The sequence below is a fragment of the Homo sapiens genome, chromosome 2 (genome assembly GCF_000001405.40).
Source record: "Homo sapiens chromosome 2, GRCh38.p14 Primary Assembly".
NCBI classification, from domain to species: Eukaryota; Metazoa; Chordata; class Mammalia; order Primates; family Hominidae; genus Homo; species Homo sapiens.
Window position 1 is genome coordinate 108,198,410 of NC_000002.12, and position 20,945 is coordinate 108,219,354.

General features: G+C 38.2%; 1 long non-coding RNA gene across 1 annotated transcript in view; it reads right to left on the reverse strand.

Annotated features, from left to right (window-relative positions):
• The window catches only part of LINC01594 (long intergenic non-protein coding RNA 1594), a 50,094-nt gene extending 30,662 nt beyond the window's left edge, over positions 1–19,432 (reverse strand). The window contains exon 1 of the long non-coding RNA NR_131251.1: positions 19,286–19,432. This is a non-coding gene — a long non-coding RNA (long intergenic non-protein coding RNA 1594). The remainder of the gene's footprint in view (positions 1–19,285) is intronic.
• Between the last annotated feature and the right edge of the window lie 1,513 nt (positions 19,433–20,945).

Consider the following 20,945-nt stretch of genomic DNA (forward strand, 5'->3'; position numbering starts at 1 on the left):
TACCATTTGACCCAGTCATCCCATTACTGGGTATATACCCAAAGGATTATAAATCATGCTGCTATAAAGACACATGCACACGTATGTTTATTGTGGCACTATTCACAATGGCAAAGACTTGGAACCAACCCAAATGTCCAACAATGATAGACTGGATTAAGAAAATGTGGCACATATACACCATGGAATACTATGCAGCCATAAAAAATGATGAGTTCATGTCCTTTGTATAATAATAATAATAAAATAAAATAAATAAATATTTGTTTTCAGATGTATAATTATTGGGTCAATAATCTTATACTCATGGCCACACAAGGCTCAATTATTTTAAAAAATGTATGCCAATTTGACATTCCATCAACAATTCTTGAATATCTAAGTGAACCTTCATCAGTATTAAGTATTTTTTAAGTGTTTGCTAATTATTAGGGGTATCAGTAATTCTTTTTGGATAGCAAATAATTCACCTCTCTGGAAATAGTTTAAGGTAAATAGTGTAAATTATTCAGGACTATATACATGTGTTTTAGAACTATGAGATGTCTTCTGGTAAAAGTGAATAAAATAAAGCAAATTTTTTTTAATATTTTTACTGAATATTTTATGTATCTATTGACCACATTAAATCACTTTTTAGTCTTATTTAAATCTGTGGCATCATTTGCTTTTAGTAATCTATAAAAATCTGCCAAATTCCATTTTCTAATCTAATTTTGGGGCATTTCTTCCCCAATTCTCCAATAGTAGAAATTCTGCCTGAATTTCTACTATTCCTATCTTCTTTAGATTAAGGGAGAGGGATTTTTTGACAATATAGCTACACGGGTCATGCGTATATTGATTAAATGCTGAGATAATTTTAATGACATTTTACTCCTTTCCACACACACAAATTGGTCTAAATTAAACAGATTCCCAATAAAATATATATAATGTTATATAGTATTAAAGATACATATAATAAACATTAAATAAAAATATGTTATGAGGGTAGGTACCGATGAAAACATTAAAACTCAGGCAAGGCCCAGTGTGGTGGCTCAAGCCTGTAATCCCAGCACTTTGGGAGGCCAAGGTGAGCAGATCGCTTGAGCTCATGAGTTCAACATCAGTCTGAGCAACATAGTGAAACCCTGTCTCTATAAAACATAAAAAAAATTTAGCTGGATGTAGTGGTGCATGCCTGTAGTCTCAGCTACTCAGGAGGCTGAGGTGGGAGGCTGGCTTGAGCTAGGCAGCTAGAGATTGCAGTGAGGCAAGATCCTGCCACTGCACTACAGCCTAGGTGATAGAGCCAAACATTGTCTCAAAGAAAAAAAAAACAATAACTCAGGCAAAGTAATTACCAAATATCATAATATATTATGTATCTAAAAATAAAAGCAAAGCATATTTTAAATTTTTTGTTAATTCATAGCATGCCTATAGAATAGTGCAATACTCAATATCATTAGTCACAAGGGAAATTCCTGTCATACCAACTGAAACAGAGTCCACAGGACAGGTGGGAAATCACCCAGGGAATAAAACTTTACTCCAAGAATGTAACTCTTTGCAAGCCTGGATGCCAAAGCTGTCTGCTGTAACATGAAGCCAGTTTAATCCAATGGCTGCTGAAACAGCCTGCTGTGATTCTAAGAGTAGTTTTACCCAACATTGTCATTTACCAATCAGAGCTTGCCAGCTCCCAAAAATCTTACTAGTGCCAATGAACTTTCTTTCAGAACACTATGTAACATTCCTCCTTTTTATAAAACTTCGAATCTTGTCTTTGTTCTTCAGACATACTGAAGACCACACAGTCTGTGGTGTGTCCCAAATTGCAATTCTTGTTCCCAAATAAAACATTTCAAATTTAGAAATTTTCCTTTTTATTCAATTTGAATTTGACAACTGATAAACAAAATGTAGTATAACAATGCAATGGAATATTTGCCATAAAAGAAATGAAGTACTGATATATACAACTACATGGATGAACCTGAAAACAGCTTGCTACAGAATGGGGATCGACTGATAATGGGTATAACATTTCTTTTCTGGGGTGATAAAATGTTCTGGAATTACATAGTGGTAATGGTTGCAAAACTCCGTGAATATCCTAAAAACCACCTAAGTGTATACTTAAAACAGTGTATTTTGGTGTCAGTGGAATAGTGAGGGAGAAGAAAAAGAAAAATCAGTTAGGCAGACAGCTATAGGCAAAAATAGAGTAGTCTGGGGAAAACTCAGAATGCCCAGGTATAGAGAGATAAGGAGGCAAAGTCCAGCATAGAAGCCTTTTGTTTTCTGTATGATTAACGGACTCCCAGGAAAAAGTTTCCTCCCCTTTTCAGGCACAATCACCGTGGGCTCCATGGGAACTTGCACAGGGAGGGAGGTTTACATAAAACAGACCCACAGTTATACAAACAAGAGAAGCTACACTTGATGTGCCTGCCGCTGCATAGATAAGGAGAGTTATACAGACAGCTTTACAGGTAAGAGAAGTTACTCAAACAGCTACAGAAAAGAGAATAGTTTCCCATAAAAGCTTTTGCATTCGGCCGGGCGCGGTGGCTCACGCCTGTAATCCCAGCACTTTGGGAGGCCGAGGCGGGCGGATCATGAGGTCAGGAGATCGAGACCATCCCGGCTAAAACGGTGAAACCCCGTCTCTACTAAAAATACAAAAAATTAGCCGGGCGTAGTGGCGGGCGCCTGTAGTCCCAGCTACTTGGGAGGCTGAGGCAGGAGAATGGCGTGAACCCGGGAGGCGGAGCTTGCAGTGAGCTGAGATCCCGCCACTGCACTCCAGCCTGGGCGACAGAGCGAGACTCCGTCTCAAAAAAAAAAAAAAAAAAGCTTTTGCATTCAACTATAAAAGTGGCAACCCACTTGGGCTCCGATCTTCGCTGCAGAGAACTTTCTTGTGTCACTTATTAAGCTTTCATTCCAACCTCACATTTTCTGTGCCTGCTCCTTAATTTTCTTGGTTGTGAGACAATGAGCTCATATAACACCTCAGACACGAGACCACTGACCTGTTTCAATAGGACATTTTGACATGGCAGAATAGGAGGCTCCTTACTCTACTCCACCCACAGACATAGCCAATAAATATATATTCACAGATGACTTCCCTCTGACAGAAAATCAAAAACCAGTTGAGAAACTACTACCCGCTGGATAACTGAGAAAATATCCACATCATAAATGATGACATTAAAAACATGAAATGTGGAATCAGGGACAGTAAAAATACAGTGTGTGTGTTTGAGATCAAAATTAAGGTGTTATTGGCTTAAAATAACCAGTTATAAGAGATTTTATATATCCCTCAGGGTAACTATAAAGCAAAACCTATAATAGATAAACAAAAGAAAAAAATATATATCCAAACATACCACTACATAAAGCCATCAAACCATAAAGAAAAAAAACAAGAGAGGTAGAAAACAACAAAGGATCTTAAAACAACTAGAAAACAATAAACAAAATGGAACTGGAAAAATTTTACCTGTCAATAATTACTTGAATGTAAGTGGATTAAATTATTTGATCAAAATGCATCTAGTGACTGAATGGATTAAGAAAGTAATAAGAGCTACATATATTTTGCCTCCAAGAGACTCATTTTACCTTAAAAGAAACCCATAGACTGAAAAAAACGAAAAACTGATATTCCATACTTCCTTGGTCAGTGGGGAAAAGTGCCCCACCTGCTCTGAAGAACAAGGAGGAGGTGGACCCCCATTCCTCTAGAGATCTAATCATCAGTGTGGACCACCCCTAAGGGAGGGAAAAGTACAGCCCACCAAAGCCCCGCCTTGTGTCAAGGGAAGCACAAGCATGGCACCAGACACTGACATGGAGAGGGAATCATCTATTCCCCACTGCCCCTCTCTTTAGTGCACTATTGCAAACTCAGCAGTGACTCTTCCCATTGGGGCCCAGAGAGTGTGGGCTAAAAGAGTGTGCTCCTCAGTCTTCTCCAGCAGCACCAACCCCACTGAAGGCAAATGCACACTGAGGAAAGGCATATTTTGTGCTTCTTCATTGCCTCTGCCCCATCTCTACTTGTTGGAGCTTACTCTTAAGTAAGGACTGCAGCCTGAATTCTACAACCAAATGCAATTACCTCACTATAACAATTAACATCTGAGAAAGCTACAAAACTAACTACAGCCAAGAAACCCATACAGAGCCTTGGCATCCTGAAAGCACCCCAAAACAAGGCCATTTAATAATATACAATATACATCACAGTAATACCTCCAAGGGAAAAAAAAGAGTAAATAATCAAGAAGCCCAATTAAAACAATAGCAAATTCAAGGAAGAAAGTAGAAGAAGAGAAGAAGGAGAGGGAGAAGGAGAAGAAGGAGAAAGAAAGTGTCAGCTCCTCTGATGGGAAAGAATCAGCACAAGAACTCTGGCAAGACAATGAAAAAAAAACAAAAAAACAAAAACACAAAGTGTTTCATCAGCTCCAAAGGATCTCATTAACTACTCAGCAATAGATCCTAACCAGAATGAAATGTCTAAAATGACACATATAGAATCCACAATATGGATGAAAACAAATTCAATGAGATCCAAGAGAAAGTTGAAATGTAACAGAAAGAAGCCAGAAAAAGGATCAAAAATTTGAAGTACCTAACTGTATTTAAAAAATGAATAAACAGAACTGCTGGAATTAAGAAGTTCAAATTTTAAAAAATATTTCAAACTATCATTTGAAGCCTTTTTTATTTTATTATTATTATACTTTAAGTTTTAGGGTACATGTGCACAATGTGCGGGTTAGTTACAGATGGATGCATGTGACATGATGGTGTGCTGCACCCATTAACTCGTCATTTAGCATTAGGTATATCTCCCAATGCTATCCCTCCCCCCTCCCCCCACCCCACAACAGTCCCCAGAGTGTGATGTTCCCCTTCTGTGTCCATGTGTTCTCATTGTTCAATTCCAACCTATGAGTGAGAACATGCTGTGTTTGGTTTTTGGTCCTTGCGACAGTTTACTGAGAACGATGATTTCCAATTTCATCCATGTCCCTATAAAGGACATGAACTCATCATTTTTTATCACTGCATAGTATTCCATGGTGTATATGTACCACATTTTCTTAATCCAGCCTACCGTTGTTGGACATTTGGGTTGGTTCCAAGTCTTTGCTATTGTGAATAGTGCCGCAATAAACATACGTGTGCATGTGTCTTTATAGCAGCATGATTTATAGTCCTTTGGGTATATACCCAGTAATGGGATGGCTGGATCAAATGGTATTTCTAGTTCTAGATCCCTGAGGAATTGCCACACTGACTTCCACAATGGTTGAACTAGTTTACAGTCCCACCAACAGTGTAAAAGTGTTCCTATTTCTCCACATCCTCCCCAGGACCTGTTGTTTCCTGACTTTTTAATGATTGCCATTCTAACTGGTGTGAGATGGTATCTCATTGTGGTTTTGATTTGCATTTCTCTGATTGCCAGTGATGATGAGCATTTTTTCATGTGTTTTTTGGCTGTATAAATGTCTTTTTTTAAGAAGTGTCTGTTCAGGTCTTTCTCCCACTTTTTGGTGGGTTGTTTGTTTTTTTCTTGTAAATTTGTTTGAGTTCATTGTCAATTCTGGATATTAGCCCTTTGTCAGATGAGTAGATTGCAAAAATTTTCTCCCATTCTGTAGGTTGCCTGTTCACTCTGATGGTAGTTTCTTTTGCAGGAGCTCTTTAGTTTAATTAGATCCGATTTGTCAATGTTGGCTTTTGTTGCCAGTGCTTCTGGTGTTTTAGACATGAAGTCCTTTCCCATGCCTTTGTCCTGAATGGTAATCCCTAGGTTTTCTTCTAGGGTTTTTATGGTTTTAGGTCTAACATGTAAGTCTTTAATCCATCTTGAATTAATTTTTGTATAAGGTGTAAGGAAGGGATGCAGTTTCAGCTTTCTACATTTGGCTAGCCAGTTTTCCCAGCACCATTTATTAAATAGGGAATCCTTTCTCCATTTCTTGTTTTTGTCAGGTTTGTCAAAGATCAGATAGTTGTGGATATGCAGCATTATTTCTGAGGGCTCTGTTCTGTTCCATTGGTCTATATCTCTGTTTTGGTACCAGTACCATGCTGTTTTGGTTACTGTAGCCTTGTAGTATAGTTTGAAGTCAGGTAGCTTGATGCCTCCAGCTTTGTTCTTTTGGCTTAGGATTGACTTGGCGATGTGGGCTCTTTTTTGGCGCCATATGAACTTTAAAGTAGTTTTTTCCAATTCTGTGAACAAAGTTATTGGTAGCTTGATGGGATGGCATTGAATCTATAAACTAACCTTGGGAAGTATGGCCATTTTCACGATATTGATTCTTCCTACCCATGAGCATGGAATGTTTTTCCATTTGTTTTTGTCCTCTTTTATTTCATTGAGCAGTGGTTTGTAGTTCTCCTTGAAGAGGTCCTTCACATCCCTTGTAAGTTGGATTCCTAGGTATTTTATTCTCTTTGAAGCAATTGTGAATGGGAGTTCACTCATGATTTGGCTCTCTATTTGTCTGTTATTGGTGTATAAGAATGCTTGTGATTTTTGCATACTGATTTTGTATCCTGAGACTTTGCTGAAGTTGCTTATCAATTTAAGGAGATTTTGGGCTTTGACGATGGGGTTTTCTAGATATACAATCATGTCATCTGCAAACAGGGACAATTTGACTTCCTCTTTTCCTAATTGAATACCCTTTATTTCCTTCTCCTGCCTGATTGCCCTGGCCAGAGCTTGCAACACTATGTTGAATAGGAGTGGTGAGAGAGGGCATCCCTGTCTTGTGCCAGTTTTCAAAGGTAGTGCTTCCAGTTTTTGCCCATTCAGTATGATATTGACTGTGGGTTTGTCATAGATAGCTCTTATTTTTTTGAGATACGTCCCATCAATACCTAATTTATTGAGAGTTTTTAGCATGAAGCATTGTTGAATTTTGTCAAAGGCCTTTTCTGCATCCATTGAGATAATCATGTGGTTTTTGTCTTTGGTCCTGTTTATATGCTAGATTACATTTATTGATTTGCATATGTTGAACCAGCCTTGCATCCCAGGGATGAAGCCCACTTGATCATGGTGGATAAGTTTTTGATGTGCTGCTGGATTTGGTTTGCCAGTATTTTATTGAGGATTTTTGCATCCATGTTCATCAAGGATATTGGTCTAAAATTCTCTTTTTTGGTTGTGTCTCTGCCAGGCTTTGGTATCAGGATGATGCTGGCCTCATAAAATGAGTTAGGGAGGATTCCCTCTTTTTCTATTGATTGGAATAGTTTCAGAAGGAATGGTACCAGCTCCTCCTTGTGGCTCTGGTAGAATTTGGCTGTGAATAAATCTGGTCCTGGACTTTTTTGGTTGGTAAGCTATTGATTATTGCCTCAATTTCAGAGCCTATTATTGGTCTATTCAGAGATTCACTTCTTCCTGGTTTAGTCTTGGGAGGGTGTATGTGTCAAGGAATTTATCCATTTCTTCTAGATTTGCTAGTTTATTTGCGTAGAGGTGTTTATAGTACTCTCTGATGGTAGTTTGTATTTCTGTGGGATCGGTGGTGATATCCCCTTTATCATTTTTTATTGCATCTATTTAATTCTTCTCTCTTTTCTTCTTTATTAGTCTTGCTAGCAGTCTATCAATTTTGTTGATCTTTTCAAAAAACCAGCTCCTGGATTCATTAATTTTTTGAAGGGTTTTTTGTGTCTCTATTTCCTTCAGTTCTGCTCTGATCTTCGTTATTTCTTGCCTTCTGCTAGCTTTTGAAAGTGTTTGCTCTTGCTTTTCTAGTTCTTTTAATTGTGGTGTTAGGGTGTCAATTTTAGATCTTTCCTGCTTTCTCTTGTGGGCATTTAGTGCTATAAATTTCCCTCTACACACTGCTTTCAATGTGTCCCAGAGATTCTGTTATTTTGTGTCTTTGTTCTCGTTGGTTTCAAAGAACATCTTTATTTCTGCCTTCATTTCATTATATACCCAGTAGTCATTCAGGAGCAGGTTGTTTTGTTTCCATGTAGTTGAGTGGTTTTGAGCGAGTTTCTTAATCCTGAGTTCTAGTTTGATTGCACTGTGGTCTGCGAGACAGTTTGTTATAATTTCTGTTCTTTTACATTTGCTGAGGAGTGCTTTACTTCCAACTATGTGGTCAATTTTGGAATACGTGTGGGGTGGTGCTGAAAAGAATGTATATTCTGTTGATTTGTGGTGGAGAGTTCTGTAGATGTCTATTAGGTCCACTTGGTGCAGAGCTGAGTTCAATTTCTGGGTATCTTAGTTAATTTTCTGTCTCATTGATCTGTACAATGTTGACAGTGGGGTGTTAAAGTCTCTCATTATTATTGTGTGGGAGTCTAAGTCTCTTTGTAGGTCACTCAGGACTTGCTTTATGAATCTGCATGCTCTTGTATTGGGTGCATATATATTTAGGATAGTTAACTCTTCTTGTTGAATTGATCCCTTTACCATTATGTAATGGCCTTCTTTGTCTCTTTTGATCTTTGTTGGTTTAAAGTCTGTTTCATCAGAGACTAGGATTGCAACCCCTGCCTTTTTCTGTTTTCCATTTGCTTGGTAGATCTTCCTCCATCCTTTTATTTGGAGCCTATGTGTGTCTCTGCACATGAGATGGGTTTCGTGAACACAGCACACTGATGGGTCTTGACTCTTGATCCAATTTGCCAGTCTGTGTCTTTTAATTGGAGCATTTAGCCCATTTACATTTAAGGTTAATATTGTTATGTGTGAATTTGATCCTGTCATTATGATGTTAGCTGGTTATTTTGCTAGTTAGTTGATGCAGTTTCTTCCTAGCCTTGATGGTCTTTACAATTTGGCATGTTTTTGCAGTGGCTGGTATCGGTTGTTCCTTTCCATGTTTAGTGCTTCCTTCAGGAGCTCTTTTAGGGCAGGCCTGGTGGTGACAAAATCTCTCAGCATTTGCTTCTCTGTAAAGGATTTTATTTCTCCTTCACTTATGAAGCTTAGTTTGACTGGATATGAAATTCTGGGTTGAAAATTCTTTTCTTTAAGAATGCTGAATATTGGCCCCCACTCTCTTCTGGCTTGTAGAGTTTCTGCCGAGAGATCCACTGTTAGTCTGATGGGCTTCCCTTTCTGGGTAACCCGACCTTTCTCTCTGGCTGCCCTTAACATTTTTTCCTTCATTTCAACTTTGGTGAATCTGACAATTTTGTGTCTTGGAGTTGCTCTTCTCGAGGAGTATCTTTGTGGCATTCTCTGTATTTCCTGAATTTGAATGTTGGCCTGCCTTGCTAGATTGGGGAAGTTCTCCTGGATAATATCCTGCAGAGTGTTTTCCAACTTGGTTCCATTCTCCCCGTCACTTTCAGGTACACTAATCAGATGTAGATTTGGTCTTTTCACATTGTCCCATATTTCTTGGAGGCTTTGTTCATTTCTTTTTATTCTTTTTTCTCTAAACTTTTCTTCTTGCTTCATTTCATTCATTTGATCTTCCATCAGTGATACCCTCCCTTCCAGTTGATCAAATCAGCTACTGAGGCTTGTGCATTCGTCACGTAGTTCTCATGCCTTGGTTTTCAGCTCCATCAGGTCCTGTAAGGACTTCTCTGCATTGGTTATTCTAGTTAGCCATTCGTCTAATTTTTTTTCAAGTTTCTCAACTTCTTTGCCATGGGTTGGAACTTCCTTCTTTAGCTCAGAGTTGTTTGATTGTCTGAAGCCTTCTACTCTCAACTCATCAAAGTTATTCTCTGTCCAGCTTTGTTCCATTGCTGGTGAGGAAATGCGTTCCTTTGAAGGAGGAGAGGTGCTCTGATTTTTAGAGTTTCCAGTTTTTCTGCTCTGCTTTTTCCCCATCTTTGTGGTATTATCTACCTTTGGTCTGTGATGATGGTGACATACAGATGGGGTTTTGGTGTGGATGTCCTTTCCATTTGTTACTTTTCCTTCTAACAGTCAGGACCCTCAGCTGCAGGTCTGTTGGAGATTGCTGGAGGTCCACTCCAGACCATTTGCCTGGGTATCAGCAGTGGAGGCTGCAGAACAGTGGATATTGGTGAACAGAAACTGTTGCTGCCTGATCGTTCCTCTGGAAGTTTTGTCTCAGAGGAGTACCTGGCCGTGTGAGGTGTCAGTCTGCCCCTACAGGGGGTTGCCTCCCACTTAGGCTACTCGGGGGTCATGGACCCACTTGAGGAGGCAGTCTGTCCGTTCTCAGATCTCAAGCTGCATCCTGGGAGAACCACTACTCTCTTCAAAGCTGTCAGACAGGGACATTTAAGTCTGCAGAGATTTCTGCTTCCTTTTGTTTGGCTATTTCCTGCCCCCAGAGGTGGAGTCTACAGAGGCAGGCAGGCCTCCCTGAGCTGCAGTGGGCTCCATCCAGTTTGAGCTTCCCGGCCACTTTGTTTACCTACTCAAGCCTTGGCAATGGCAGGCACCCCTCCCCCAGCCTCGCTGCCACCTTGCAGTTTGATCTCAGACTGCTGTGCTAGCAATGAGCAAGGCTCCGTGGGTGTAAGACCCTCTGAGCCAGGTGCGGGATATAATCTCCTGGTGTGCCATTTGCTAAGACCGTTGGAAAGCGCAGTATTAGGGTGGGAGTGACCCAATTTTCCAGGTGCCATCTGTCACCCCTTTCTTTGACTAGGAAAGGGAATTCCCTGACCCCTTGTGCTGCCCAGGTGAGGCAATGCCTCACCCTGCTTTGGCTCACGCTCGGTGCACTGCACCCACTGTCTGACACTCCCCAGTGAGATGAACCCGGTACCTCAGTTGGAAATGCAGAAATCACTCGTCTTCTGCGTCACTCATGCTGGGAGCTGTAGATTGGAGCTATTCCTATTCGACCATCTTGGCTCCACCCCCAATTTCATGTTTTTAAAGGCTACATAGTACTCTATTGTGTATACACACCAAATATTTGTATACATTCACCCACAGATAGGCACTACAGTTGTTTCCATATTGTGGCTCTTGTGACTAATGCTGCAATCAATATGGGAGTGTAGCTATCTCTTCAACGCACTGATTTCATTTCTTTGGATGTATACCCAGTAGTGGCAGAGCTGTGAAACCCACCCAATAGTCCCATAGGCAACTTTTTGAATAAATATAGAAATTGACCTTTCTGGTCTTAAAGCTTGAAACTTACATTCATTTTTTCTGCATTCCTTCCCCAGGAAATGACCATCAGGCCTCTAAACAAAAGTATCAAAGAATTGAAACTCATCCATCACCACATCCAGACAATGCAGTGCAGGCTTCCTTATTCATCATGATTGTTTTCTTGCCCCTCTCTAGTTCCTGTTTTCTTACATATTGTTACATGTGTTCCCTGCTCTATAACCCCCTCATTGTAGTTGGTCAGGGAAATTGATTTGAGACTGATATCCCACCTCCTTGGTTGCAGCACCCCGTTAAATCCTTCTTCCTTCTTCCTGGCACTACTCATTGTCCTAATCATTGGCTTTCTTTGTGGTGAGCTGCAGGACCTACACTGGACCCCTGGCCTTTTGGTTATCTGTGGATCATTAGTGATTGTATTTTTAGTTTTTTGAAGAGGCTTCATATTGTTTTCCAAAGTGGCTGTACTAATTTACAATGCCACTGATGTTGTACAAGGGTTCTCTTTTTTCTATACCTTCCCCACACTTGTTATTTGTTGTCTTTTTGATAAGAGATGATCTAACATGTGTGAGATGATATTTTATTGTGGATTTAATTTGCATTTCTCTGATGATTGGAGAGGTTCAGCACTTTTTCCTATATCTGTAGTCCATTTCTATGTATTCTTTTGAGAAATTACTATTTAGAACCTTTGTCCATTTTTAATTAGGGTTATTTCTTTTTTTTGTTATTCAGTTGTATGAGTTCCTTGTGTATTTTAAATATTAGCCTCTAATCCAATCTATGATTTGCAAATGTTTTCTCCCAGGTTGTGGGTTGTCTTTTCATTCTGTTAATTGTTTCCTTTGATGTTTAGAAAGCTTTCAGATCAATGCAGTGACATTTGTCTGTTTTTGTCCATCACAGTGATTTCACATAGCTCCAGACTTATGCCATGGAGCTTTACCACTATGTTTATGTTCTCCTCTAGTAGTTTTACAGTTTCAGCTCATATATTTTAAGTCTTTAGCCCATTTTGAGTTGATTCCTGTATAAGGGGTAAGAAAATCGTTTACTTTTATTCTTCTGCATGTGGATATCCAATTTTCCCAACACCATTTATTGAAGAGACTGTTCTTTTCCCATTGTGTGTTACTGGCACTTTTTTCAAAAATTAATAGACTGTAATTGTGGGTGTTTATTTCTGAACTCTCTATCCTAGTTCATTGGATGATGTATCTGTTTTATGCCAGCACCATGCTGTTTTGACGACTATAGCTTTGTAAAGTGTTTTGGAATCTGGTGGTGTGATGCCTCTAGCTTTGTTCTTTTTGCTCAAGATGGCTTTGGCGTGGCCTTTTGTGGTTTCATGTGAATTTTATAACTTCTCTTTCTATTTCTGTGAAGAATGACCTTGAGACTTTGATTGAGATTGCATAGAGTCTATGAATGGCTTTGGGTAGTACAGATATTTTAAAAATATTCTTTCAATACATTAACACAGAAAATCTTTCAGTTTATTTGTGTCATCTTCAATTTCTTTCATCAATGTTTTACCATTTTCAGTATATAGATCTTTCACATTCTTGGTTAAATTTATTCCTAAGTATTTTATTTTATATTTGGTGCTATTGTAAATTGGTTTATTTTTTTATTTTTTAAAAAGATAGTTCATTGTTAGTGTGCAGAAATGCAACTGGTTTTTGTAAGGTGAATTTGTTTTCTGCAACTTCACTGAATTTCTTTGGCAATTCTAAGAGATTTTGGGAGGAGTCTTTAGAATTTTCTCTATATAAGATCATATCATTAGCAAACAGAACATCTCACTTCCTCCTTTTCTATTTGCATGACTTTCTTTGTTTTTCTTGCTTAATTTTTCTGGCTGGAACTTTTAGTACTATGCTAAACATAGTGGTGTGAAGAGGCATCTTTGTCCTGTTTTTTATTTTAGAGGAAAAGCCTTCAACTTTTCACCATTGATTATGATGTTAGCTGTGGGCTTATTGTATATAGCCTTTATTGTGTTGAGAAACATTCCTTTTATACCTAATTTATTGACAGTTTTTTTAATCATGAAAAGATGTTAAATTTAGTCAAATGCTTTTTTTGTGTGTTGATTGAGATATTGATATGTTTTTGTCCTTCATTCTGTTATTAAATTATGTTGCATCTATTGATTTGTATATGTTGAATCATCCTTGCATCCCAAGGATAAATCCCACTTGATTATGGCAAATGATCTTTTTAATGTACTTTTGAATATAGTTTGCTTGTATTTTGTTGACAATATTTTTATCTGTGTTCATTAGGAATAATAGTCTGTAGTTTTGTTTTCTTATAGTGTTTTTCTTTGGCTTTGGCATTGGGATAATTCTGGCCTTGTAAATTGAGTTTGGAAGTGCTTCCTCCACTTCAGGTTTTGCAAAGGTTTGAATAGGATTGGTATTAGTTCTTCTTTAAATGTTTGGTAGAATTGAGCCATAAAGTTATGAGGTCTTGGGGTTTTCTTTGATGTGAGACTTAATTGATTATGTAATCTCCTTACTCATTATTGGTCTGTTCAGATTTTCTATTTTATTGTGTTTTAGTCTTGCTAGGTAATGTTTCTAGGAATTTACCCATTTCTATCAGATTATTTAATTTGTTGACATATAGTTGTTTATAGTAATCTTATGATTATTTGTATTTCTATGTTATCAGTTGTAATGTCTCCTCTTTCATTTCTGAATTTAATGAGGCCTCTCTTAGTTTGTGTAGCTAAAGGTTTGTCAATTTTGTTTAGCTTTTCAAATAACCAACTCATAGATTCATCGATATCTTTAAGTGTTTTAACACCTCTGTTTTATTTATTTTTGCTCTGGTCTTTGTTATTTCTTTCCTTTGTGCTAACTTTGGGCTTAGTTTGTTCTTTTTTTATTCCCCTAGTTCCTTGAGGTGTAACACTGGGTTGTTTGAGATCTTTCTTTTCTTTTTTTTTTTTTAAAATAGTATTATTTTTAGAGGCAAAGTCTTACAATATAGCCCACGCTGGGTTTGAACTCAGGCTGAATTGATCCTCCCTCTGAGTGGGAGAGAGTACAGGCATGCAGCATTGCACATGGGATTGTTTTTTATTTTCTTTAGGAAGAAAAAAAGAATTAGTGTAAGTTTCCTTCTTAGAACTGTTTTTGTTGCACCCCATAAATTTTGATATGTTGTGTTCTATTTTTACATGCTAAAGATATTTTTAATTTTTGCCTATAATTTCTTCTTTGACCCAATACTTGTTCTACAGCACATTGTTTAGTGTCCACATGTTTGTTAATTTCCCATGATTCATCCTGTTATTGAATTCTAGTCTCAAAGCGTCATGGTTGTAAAAGACGCATAACATGATTTAATCTTCCTAAATTTGTTAAGACTTGTTTTGTGCCTAACATATGATCTAACTTGGAGAATGATAGATGTATACTTGAAAAGAAGGTGTATTCTGTTGCTGTTGGGTGGAAAACTCTGTGTATATCTGTTAGATACGTTTGCTCTATAGTTGAAATCTAATGTTTCCTTATTGATTTTCTGACTGGTCAATCTATTGTTTGAAGTGGGGAACTGAAATCCCCTACTATTACTGTGTTGCAATCTATATCTTTGTTCAGATCTCTTAATGCTTGTTTTATATATTTAGGAGCTCCCAATTTGGGGTGCATGTTTCTGTATAATTCTTATATCCCCTTGATGAGTTAATTGCTTTATCACTATATAATAACCTTCTTTGTGTCTTTTAACAGTTTTTGACATAAAGTCTGTTTTCTCTGAAATAATAGATGTAGCTACCTCTGCTTTTACATTCCACGTGCATGGAATATCTTTTAAAAAATATTTTATTTTATTTTTATTTTAGATCCAGAAGGTACATGCGTGGGTTTGTTATGTGGATATATTGCATGATGCAGATGTTATCCATTCGTCTAATTTTTTTTCAAAGTTTTTAACTTCTTTGCCATTGGTTCAAACTTCCTCCTGTAGCTCGGAGTAGTTTGATCATCTGAAGCCTTCTTCTCTCAACTCGTCAAAGTCATTCTCCATCCAGCTTTGTTCTGTTGCTGGTGAGGAGCTGCATTCCTTTGGAGGAGGAGAGGTGCTCTGATTTTTAGAGTTTCCAGTTTTTCTGCTCTGTTTTTTGCCCACCTTTGTGGTATTATCTACCTTTGGTCTTTGATGATGGTGATGTACAGATGGGTTTTGGTGTCCCATCTGTACACCTTGATGTCCTTCCTGTTTGTTGGTTTATGTTCTAACCGACAGGACCCTCAGCTGCAGGTCTGTTGGAGTTTGCTAGAGGTCCACTCCAGACCCTGTTTGCCTGGGTATCAGCAGTGGTGGCTGCAGAACAGTGGATATTGTTGAACCGCCAATGCGGGAAAAAAATGCCAGACAAGAATTTTATATTCTGCAAAACTAAGCTTAATAAGTGAAGGAGAAAAATGTCTTTTCCAGACAAGCAAATGCTAAGGGAATTCATCACCATAGGACTGGCCCTACAAGAGATGCTTAGTGGAGTTCTAAATATGGAAATAAAATGATGATATCTGCTATGAAAGCACACACAAGCACATAGCCATGGACACTGTAAACCTCATTTACAGTGGTAAACCTGTAAACCTTCCAGTTCAAGGAGAACTACAAACCACTGCTCAATGAAATAAAAAAGGATACAAAGAAATGGAAGAACATTCCATGCTCATGGGTAGGAAGAATCAATATCATGAAAATGGCCATACTGCCCAAGGTAATTTATGGATTCAATGCCATCCCCAATGCCTATAAGAAAGGCTCCAAAGGGGTCATTAAGAAATGGCAGTTAAGGTTAAAGATGTTTAGAATGTGTTCAAGAGTAAAAATTGATTTGGAGACTTCACTTGGAAGTGTTAATAGCAAAGACTTGGAACCAACCCAAATGTCTAACAATGATAGACTGGATTAAGAAAATGTGGCACATATACACCATGGAATACTATGCAGCCATAAAAAATGGTGAGTTCATGTCCTTTGTAGGGACATGGATGAAATTGGAAATCATCATTCTCAGTAAACTATCGCAAGAACAAAAAACCAAACACTGCATGTTCTCACTCATAGGTGGGAATTGAACAATGAGAACACATGGACACAGGAAGGGGAACATCACACTCCGGGGACTGTTGTGGGGTGGGGGGAGGGGGGAGGGATAGCATTAGGAGATATACCTAATGCTAAATGACGAGTTCATGGGTGCAGCACACCAGCATGGCACATGTATACATATGTAACTAACCTACACATTGTGCACATGTACACTAAAACTTAAAGTATAATAATAATAAAATAAAATAAAATAAAGAAATGAAAGTGGGACATCGCTACTGATTTCATAGAAATAAAAATGATTATGGAAGAATACTATGAACAACAGTACATGAACAACTTGGATACCCTAGATGAAATAGACAAGTTCCTAGAAACACACGATATACTAAACTGACTTGTGAAAGAATAGAAAATATGAACAGACTCACAGCTAATAAAGAGAACAAAGAAAAGCCTAGAGCTAGATAGCTTCAGTGGCATATTCCACTGAACATTTAAATGCGAACAAAAACCCTCTCAAACTCTTCAAAAAATTGGAGACAGAAAAATACCTCCCTCATTCTATGACTCACCTAGAATAGTGAAATTTATGGAGAGAGAAGGTAGAAGTTACCAGGGATTGGAGGAGAAGGTAATAGAGACATTTTTAGTGAGTATAGTTTCTGTTTGGGATAATGAAAAAGTTCTGGAAATGGATAGTGATGATGGTTACATAACGTTGTGAATGTACTTAAAGCTACTTAATAGTACACTTAAAAATAGTTAAAATAATAGTGAATTATATGTTACGTATATTTTACAATTCTTAAAATAAATGTAATCCTTGTGGTTGTTACTCCACTACCACAGAATACACACACACACACACACACACACACACACTCCTTCAGAAAAGGAATACTTCAATTTTCTAAATTTTCTGTCTGATCACTCAAAATACTTTGATACTATGCCAAAATATCAGGAAATTTCATGTTTATTGGAATATAAAAATGTAATGAAAACTTTAGATAGTAATTGAAATGCTCTGGTATTTAACGATGTGTGTGACTTTTAAAATGTGTTTTTGATAGACTCTGATAATTTTATAAAACTACACAAACTCATACGAATTTTTCCATGCTGTCCAGTAATCGATTGATTGCTTCTCAGTCCAAATTCACTGTCTGCCCTCTCTGCGAAACTGAATCTGAACCCTTTCAATATTTTTCCTTTGCCAGCTGCTGTGATGTTGAAACCTTGTCAGCAGAGAGCACTGGAGAGACATTGTGGGAGGAAAGAGTTTTGCTTCCTGGTTCAGGGTTTTCACTGGCCAGGCTCCCGTGGTTCTTCTCCACTGTGCCAGCTCCTCTAGGTCCCACTCCTGCAGCACACATGGCTTCCCCAGGGTTCAGCTCCTGCAGTGGGGGTGTCCAGTGCTTCCCCAGCTTCCTCCCAGGATGGTTTTGTAGTAGGATGCCTCCAGGGAGACACATCCTTGTGAACACCTTCCCCACACCCTAGAGGGTGGATTTCCTGCAAGTTTCAGAGAGTAGAGCAAGTTCTTCCAGAATTGAACCGCAGTAGCTTCTCTGTTGTCCCATGAGTCATGCCACGTCCTCTCCCATAAGGTCTGGGTCTCAGTCCTGGTGGGCATGGGAAGACAGGTTCTTTTCGAAGAGGCTCTTACTCTATCTCAGCCCTAGGGATAGTGGCTGTTCCTTATATTTGATATTCCTATATTCTTCAGAGTTTTACTTCTTACTTGCCAACACCTCGTTACTCCAATCTCTTGTTAGAGTTAATCATTCTCTGTATTAAACTTTTCTTGTTTAAATTAATGTGGTTTCTCTCTCCTCTCTCCCAAAAATCCTGTGTGAGCATTTGAAATGCTTTTATTTGTGATACATATCTTCTAAACTTTCACAGAAATTTGAACATGTTTCTGACATGAATAATTGATTTTGAAATGTAAACTAACATGAGGTTTGCATGTTCTCCAATACTACTACTAATTTTTGAGTTATGTTAAAGATTTACAATAAAACATTCAATGTCCTTCCCAGATAACTTTGTGATTTAGTTCTAAGTTGCTTTATTATTTCCACATGCAAATACGTAATTTATTTCTTTGTCCATCAGCTGTTAATATTTTTGACTTTTTCCTTTTTATATAGCAGGAGATTAAAAGAACGTTTCATAAACACTCAAGTGCACCTTTAAATGCTGGGTAGGTCGAGTGGCATAGTGAAATATAGATATTGAGGAACATTATTATGTGTTTTCGTAAAACTAGACAGTGGACTCATTAGAATAATGTGGCAAAGAAATTTTAAAAATAATCCTTATAAAAGAAACATCATAAAAACAGAGAAAAAGGCTTAAATAGTATTACAGCTTTTATGTTACTTCTGCTTTCTATCTCTTCTTTCTCTGGCTCGCTTCTTAGATAATCTCATTCTCTCACATGGATTTTAAATTTCTGCAACATGGTACCATCTTCCAAATTTTTATCTCCACCTCAGATCTCAACCCTGAATTCCTAAATTGTCAGCCCAACTGCCTACTTCATATCTCTACTTCCTTGTTTTATATACATTTCAAACAGAAAAAGTCAAACCCACAAACCTAATTCACCCACTGTCTTCTTCATCTCAATTAAAAGGCAACTCCATCTTTTCAGTTGCTCAGCCAAAGCTTATTCTATTTCTCTCTCTCTTGCACACTACATCCAATCCATACATCATTTGGCTCTGACTTCAAACTATATCCAGAACATGACCTCTTCTTATCAACATTACTGTGACCAACCTCCTCTGAGTCACTGGCGTGTCTTCCCTGAAGACTTGCAATCACAACCTAATGAATATCCCTCCTTCTATGTCATAATTACCCAGTCACCATATGATCCTAAATGGATCACATCACTGTGCTGATCAAAATGCTGCAGCAGTGCCCCAACCCATTCAGTCTAAGCTGAATTGTATCACGGTCTCCTGTCCTACACCATCTGTCCCCAGGTCCCTTTCTAACCACCTTCTAACCTTTGCACACTCACTTCTCTTCAGACCTAGTGACTTCCCCACTCTTCCTTGAACTCACCTAGTGTAGTCCTGCCATAGAGACTTTGGCCTGGCATTTCCTCTGCCAAGAATGCTCTTCGATCAAACAGCTACATGACCCTCTCCTCATATCCTTCAATCTTTACCCAGAAAGCATCATTTCAGTCATGTCTTCCCTGATCATTCTACTTACAATCCAGCACTTCCTGGTTCCCCTTATTCTGCCCTAATCATTTCCATCACAAGTATCATCTCTTCTAACATACTCTACACTTTGCTCACTAAATTGGAGGCTCCAGGAAGACCATTCTCAGCCTCTGCCCATTGCCCAACAATCACATGGCCAGAACTAGAGATGATTTACAAAGGCAACATTCAAGGCCTCCCACAGGTATCCAGTGGACTGAATCTCAGAATTCTACCAGCATTGTTTTCTCACAAGAGATGCCTAGGTTATGGTTGGATCTCACATGGAAAAATATACAGGATGAGTATTCCCTGGGAAAGAGATTGCCATGGTTTGGACATTTGTCCCTTCCAAACCTTATGTTGAGATCTGATTCTAAATGTTGGAGGTGGGGTCTAACAGAAGGTGTTTGGGTGATAGTGGGAGACCCCTCAGGAATAGATTAATACCCTCCCCAGGAGTGAGTGAGCTCTTGCTCTATTCCTTCCCACAAGAGTTGGTTGTTAAAAAGAGCCTGGAAACTCCCTTCTCTTGCTTCCTGTCTTACCATGTGATTTTTGGATGCACTGACCCCCTTCACCTTCTGCCAGAAGTGGAAGCAGTCTGAGTCCCTCACCACGTGTCCAGTCTTCCAGCCATCAGAATTATGAGCCAAATAAACATTTTTTAAAATAAATTTCCCAGCCTCAGCTATTCCTTTATAGTGACACTAAATAGTCTAAAGACGGGGTGGTGGTCAAAATTCAAGCATCTTTCACCATAATGAATTGAATGTGCTGTTCATTAGTGAGACTCTGAAGACAATCTGACTTTTGACCTCTTGGGTAAAAGGTACACAAATTTAACCTTAATCATTGCACTTAATGGCCAGACTTTTTAAAACCATGAGTTTAAAAGTGTGATTCTTAGGGAGCTAGCCTGATTCCCCCTTAGAATTTTTCATAAGTCACTGTGACAACTGCAAAATATCATCAGCACAAAGACACAGCATAAAAATGAGTTACAAATACACGTCCTTAAAGGAAATAAATTCACTACTTTCTTGTCCAAGATTATGGCTAAAATTACAGCTCATTGGCACAGATTTTATATCTATCTATCTATCTATCTATCTATCTATCTATCTATCTATCTATCTATGTAAAACACTGATGAAACTGAAAAACTTGGAACAGTATCTGGTCCAAGGTAGCTGCTTAATAAACGTCTGATGAATTGAATGGAAACTGGAAGACTATCATTTATTATATGAGTCTTTAAAGTAACAATGAAGTTTCTATTTAAATGTAATTTTTAAAGTTTTGTAAATTGTGTTGTCAGTACTGACAACAATAAAATAACCAAGAAATAATATATGAGTGCTTATTGATGAAGAAATAAATTAAATGCAGTCCAATTAGGTACCAGACAAGAAAATAATGGGCTTAAATTCTTACGAATATTATAATAATGTTCAACTAACATACTTCCACCCATCGCCGTGTACTGCCATGAGTACCTCACACTGAATTGC